At 50.5% G+C, this 5,659-nt stretch overlaps 1 annotated feature.

The window, feature by feature from the left end:
• Nucleotides 5,370-5,589: a silencer, noted in NCBI's record as "silent region_10051". NCBI's record gives its function as "represses an Ori minimal core promoter by ATAC-STARR-seq in GM12878 lymphoblastoid cells {active_cell/tissue: GM12878}" and the evidence as "EXISTENCE:reporter gene assay evidence [ECO:0000049][PMID:35858748]".

Raw genomic sequence — 5,659 nt, forward strand, 5'->3', positions numbered from 1 at the left:
TAGGCATCATTGTCAAAGATAGTGTCCAGGGTTTCATACATGTTATTTTTAAAAATTAATTGGATTGGCTGGGCGTGATGGCTCATACCTGTAATCCCGGCACTTTGGGAGGCTGAGGTGGGCAGATCACGAGGTCAGGAGTTCGAGACCAACCTGGCCAACATGGTGAAACTCTGTCTCTACTAAAGATACAAAATATTAGCTGGGCGTGGCAGCACGTGCCTGTAATCCCAGCTTCACAAGGGGCTAAGCCAGGAGAATCGCTTGAACCCGGGAGGTCGAGGTTGCAGTGAGCAGAGAGCACGCCATTGCACTCCAGCCTGGGCGACAGAGCAAGACACTGTCTTAAAAAAAGAAAAAAAGAAAAAAGAAAAGAAAATTAATTGGATTTATCTTATTGGGTATTTTTTTTTCTCACTACAAAATGATAGATTAGATGCTTGTTGCAAGAAAAATTCAAACCAGGTGCAGTGGCTCATGCCTGTAATCTCAGGGCTTTGGGGGGCCGAGGAGGGAGGATCACTTGAGCCCAGGAGGTCAAGATCAGCCCAGGCAACATAGTGAGACCCCGTCTCTACACAAATAATAAAATTAGCTGACATGATGGTGCACACCTATCGTCACAGCTACTTGGGAGGCTGAGGCAGGAGGATCGCTCGAGCCCAGGAATTCAAGGCTGCAGTGAGCTATGATGATGACACGGCACTCCAGTCTGGGTGGCAGAGCAAGACTCTGTCTCAAAAAAAAAAAAAAAAAAAAAAAGGCCAGGCGCAGTAGCTCACGCTTGTAATCCCAGCACTTTGGGAGGCTGAGGCAGGCAGATCATGAGGTCAGGAGATCAAGACCATCCTGGTTAACACGGTGAAACCCCGTCTCTACTAAAAATACAAAAAATTAACTGGGCGTGGTGGTGGGCGCCTGTAGTTCCAGCTACTTGGGAGGCTGAGGCAGGAGAATGGCATGAACCCGGGAGGCGGATCTTGCAGTGAGCCGAGATCGCACCACTGCACTCCAGCCTGGGCGACAGAGCGAGACTCCATCTCAAAAACAAAAAAAAGGAAGAAGAATAAGAGGAGGAGGAGGAGGAAGAGAAGGAGGAGGAGGGAGGAGGAGGAAGGAGGAGGAGGAAGGAGAAGGACAAAGAGAAGAAGAAGACAGCAACAGAAAATGAGAGACATGATTAATCCAGCATGCTTAATAGTTTAGTAGTAGATTTTTCCATGGTGTCCTTCCCAAAAGGTTTCACCAACGGATGCTGTCTCTAATGATTTGGGAGATTTCTCATTTCCCTACAGCTTCTCCAGCTCTGAGCATTCCCGATCAATTTTTCATTTGACTCAACTGGAGTGGGAAATTGACTAGATTGTGAAAAGCATGCACATGCTCCAATGGTCTCCATCTCCTCCACAATATTTTTTTTCTTTTCTTTTTTTTTTTTTTTTTGAGATGGAGTTTTGCTCTTGTTGCCCAGGCTGGAGTACAATGGCACGATCTCGGCTCACCGCAACCTCCGCCTCCTGGGTTCAAGCAATTCTCCTGCCTCAGCCTCCCGAGTAGCTAGGATTACAGGCATGCGCCACCATGCCTGGCTAATTTTGTATTTTTAGTAGAGACAGGGTTTCTCCATGTTGGTCAGGCTGGTCTGGAACTCCCGACCTCAGGTGATCCCCACCTTGGGCTCTCAGCCTCCCAAGGTGCTGGGATTACAGGCGTGAGCCACCGTGCCCAGCAATTTTTTTTTTTTTTTGAGATGGAGTCTCACTCTATTGCCCAGGCTGGAGTGTAGTTGTGCGATCTCGGCTCACGGCAACCTCTGCCTCCCGGGTTCAAGTGATTCCCCCACCTCAGCCTCCCGAGTAGCTGGGACTACAGGCACACACCACCATGCCTGGCTATTTTTTGTATTTTTAGTAGACAGGATTTTGCCATGTTGGCCAGGCTGGTTTCGAACTCTTGGCCTCAAGTGATCTGCCCTCCTGGGCCTCCCAAAGTGCTGGGATTACAGGTGTGAGCCACTGCACCCGGCCTTCCTCCATAATTGAACACAGTCGCCCAGCTTAAGCCTCCAAGGGTCCAGTTCCAGGTCAAGATTTGCTGCTTTTTTTGTTTTGTTTTGTTTTGTTTCGTTTTGGTTTTGAGACAGAGTCTTGCTCTGTCACCCAGGCTGGAGTGCAGTGGCATAATCTTGGCTCACTGCAACCTCTGCCTCCTGGGTTCAAGTGATTTTCCTGCCTCAGCCTCCCAAATAGCTGGGATTACAGGTACCCGCCACCACGCCCAGCTAATTTTTGTATTTTTAGTAGAGATGAGGTTTCCATGTTAGCCAGGCTGGTCTCGAATTCCTGACCTCAGGTGATCCACCTACTTTGGTCTCGTAAAGTGCTGGGGTTACAAGAGTGAGCCACCGCGCCTGGCTGATGGGGTCTCACTATGTTGCCCAGCATGGCCTCGAAATCCTGGCCTCAAGTGATCCTCCTGCCTTGGCTTCCCAAGTGCCGAGATTACAGGCATGAGCCACTGTGCCCAGTCAATGAGCTTTTAATGTACATAATGTGGCTGAAGTGATGTGGGACTTTCAGGCTAGATCATAAAAAGATACAACTTCCACCTGGCTCTCAGCTCTTGGAAGGTGCTCGGGAGGCCAGCTCCCATGCTGGGAGTACACTCATGCCACTCAAGTATACTGGGAGGAATCGAGGCATCCCGCCAATCATAGCACCCATCTGCATGCCCTGAGAGTGAGCCACCTTGGAAGCAGATTCGCCAGCCCCCGTCAAACCTTCAGATGACTGAAGCCCTGACCAACTCCTTAACTGCAACCTTCTGAGAGGCCCTGAGCCAGAACAGCCCAGCAGCAAAGCCATTTCTCAAGTCCTAAGCTACAAAGACCACATGAAATCATAAGGATGGACCAGGTGCAGTGACTCACACCTGAAATCCCAGCATTTTGGGAGGCCAAGGCAACAGGATCACTTAAGCCCAGGGGTTCAAGACCAGCCTGGGCAACATAGTGAGACCCCCCCGCCCCCAGCTCTACAAAAAAGTATAAAAATTAGCCGGGAGTGGTGGCACATGCATGTAGTCCCAACTACTCGGGAGGCTGAGGCAGGAGAATTGCCTGAACCCGGGAGGCAGAGGTTGCAGCGAGCCGAGATCGTGCCACTGCACTGCAACCTGGGTGACAGAGCAAGACTCTGTCTCAAAACAAAAACAAAACCCAAACAAAACAACAACAAAATAACAAACAAATTAGCCGGATGTGGTGGCACATACCTGCAGTCCCAGCTACTCAGAAGGCCAAGGCCGGAGGATTGCTTGAGCTCAGGAGGTTGAGGCTGCAGCGGAGCTATGATTGTGCCACTGCACGCCAGCCTGGGTGACAGAGTGAGACCCCGTCTCTTAAAACAAATTTAAAAAAATGCTAGCTCTACGAGGGCAGGGATCTTTGTTTTGTTTGCTGTCATGTCCACAGTGCCTGGAACAGCATTGGGAACAGAGTACACGCTCTATGTGGTTGCCACGGTGATTATAACCTAACAGACCTTTGGTCTGCATATTCTGCGCTAAAAAAAAAAATCAAAAAACAAAAAACCTACCAGATCTGATTTATGTCAGGGCTAGCTCAGACTCTTACCTGTTTCCTGCCCACTCAGTGCCCATCTCGGCCAGTGAATGGGACATAGCTATGACCTCCCTCTGCACTGGGCAAATAGATTAGTAACTGGCAACTATGACAGGCGATCCACTCCAAACCTCGCCACTTCCCTCAGGATAAAATCCCAGGTCTTCTGTGCAGTTTCCAGCCCCCATCCTGCCTAGGATTCCACCATTCAGCCACAAGGAATCATGAACTGCTTGTAGTTTGCAAATACAGTAGTCTCCAGAGTGGAGTACATACACCCTATAAACAAAGCTTTGGGGTTCAACTGGAAAAACTTTAGAATATCTAGATTTGGGGGGTTTTATTGTTTGTTTTTTAGTCTTTTAAAAATAACTTTTTCCTTTTCTTTTTTCTTTTTTTAAAGACAAGGTCTTGCTATGTTGCCCAGGCTGGTTTTGAACTCCTGACCTCCAGTGATTCTCCCACCTTGACCTCCCAAAGTGCTAGCATTACAGGTGTGAACCATCATGCCCAGCTCCATTTATCTATCAATATTTTATATAACAGTTAACAGAATATATTGATATAATTGTATTTGTATATAATTTATAAATAATATCCATCTTTGAGGCCAGGAGTTTGAGACCAGCCTGGGCAACATAGTGAGACCCCGTCTCTACAAAAAAAATAGAAAATTAACCAGGCATAGTGGCATATGCCAGTAGTCCCAGCTACTTAGCAGGCTGAGGCAGGAGGATCGTTTGAGCCCAGGAGTTAGAGGCTGCAGTGAGCCACCATCAAACCACTGCACTCCAGCCTGGGCAACAGAGCAAGATCTTGTCTCAAAAAATAAATAAATGAATAAATATCCATCTGGGGGTGTAACTTTAACACTTTTACCTATAGGGGTGTGCAATGGAGAAAAAAATTTGGAGTCGTTGAACACAATGCTATTTTGCTCCTCAGAGAGTATCCGGCAGTCTCTGGAGACGTTTTTGGTAGTCACAACAGGGAGAGTAGGGAACCACTGGCATCTAGTGGGTGGAGGCCAGGGATGGTGTTAAATGTCCCCCAATACACAGGACAGTCCCCCACACAAAGAACTAGGCCGCCCAAAGTGTCAAGAGTGCTGGGCTTGAGAAGCCATTGCCCAAAAACCCCAGACTTAGTCTTGCTTTGGGGGCTCTGCACGGCTGCCTCATCTCCCCACTCTATTCCTCCCCTAGCTAAGACCTCCAATTTCAGTGACTCTACAAAGCATCCCCTCCTCCAATGAAGTTGCCATCTCTGTGTCCCCAGGCTGGGCCAGAGCCCCACCACCTAAGGGCTCCCTGATGTGCCCTGTACTGGGTTAGAATTGTCCGTCCCACGGGGTTCTTAACCATTGCAGATTCCCTGGATCCCTGAGACAGCCGGATTCTACCGGGCTACTAGAGACCAAGAATCTGTATTTTTCTCAAGCACCGCTCCCCCCAACCACACACACACTGCCTGCCCCTATCAAGGGCACACAGCAGGTGGCCCAGTGACTAGTTGAACGCCTACTGCAAGCCAGGCGCTATTACGCGATCCACTCGGGAATCTTGGCACATACTCCACTCCATGGTGTAGACACCAGGATTCTCCCCATTTCACAGAGGGGTAAACTGAGGTTGAGAGAGGTGACCGTAGCTAGGACAGAGACTCAGGGCAGGAAAAGGGCCCAGGTCCTCATGAGCGCCAGATTCCCGGGGAAGGAGGGAGAACAGAGAGGAGGGTGATGAACTGGGGGAGCGCGCGCTGGGTGGGGGGGCGCGGGGCCTCGCCGCGGCCTTCTGATGCGGCCCCGCCCCCACGAGGGACGTGAAGACGCGGACCCCGCGCAGCGTGGGGACATGTGACCGACTGCAGAGGCCGCGCCGCCTCCCCCGTCCGAGGTCTGCGCGCTCCGCCGCAGGGTGCAGACCCGGGGCGCCCGCCTGGGTTTGGGGCGCAAGAGCAGAGGCGGAGCCAGGGCGGAGCCAGCGCGCCGGGTCCCCCCTGAATCGAAAGCGAAACAGGGGCCGGGGAGGAAGGGCG

The sequence above is a fragment of the Homo sapiens genome, chromosome 19 (genome assembly GCF_000001405.40).
Source record: "Homo sapiens chromosome 19, GRCh38.p14 Primary Assembly".
NCBI classification, from domain to species: Eukaryota; Metazoa; Chordata; class Mammalia; order Primates; family Hominidae; genus Homo; species Homo sapiens.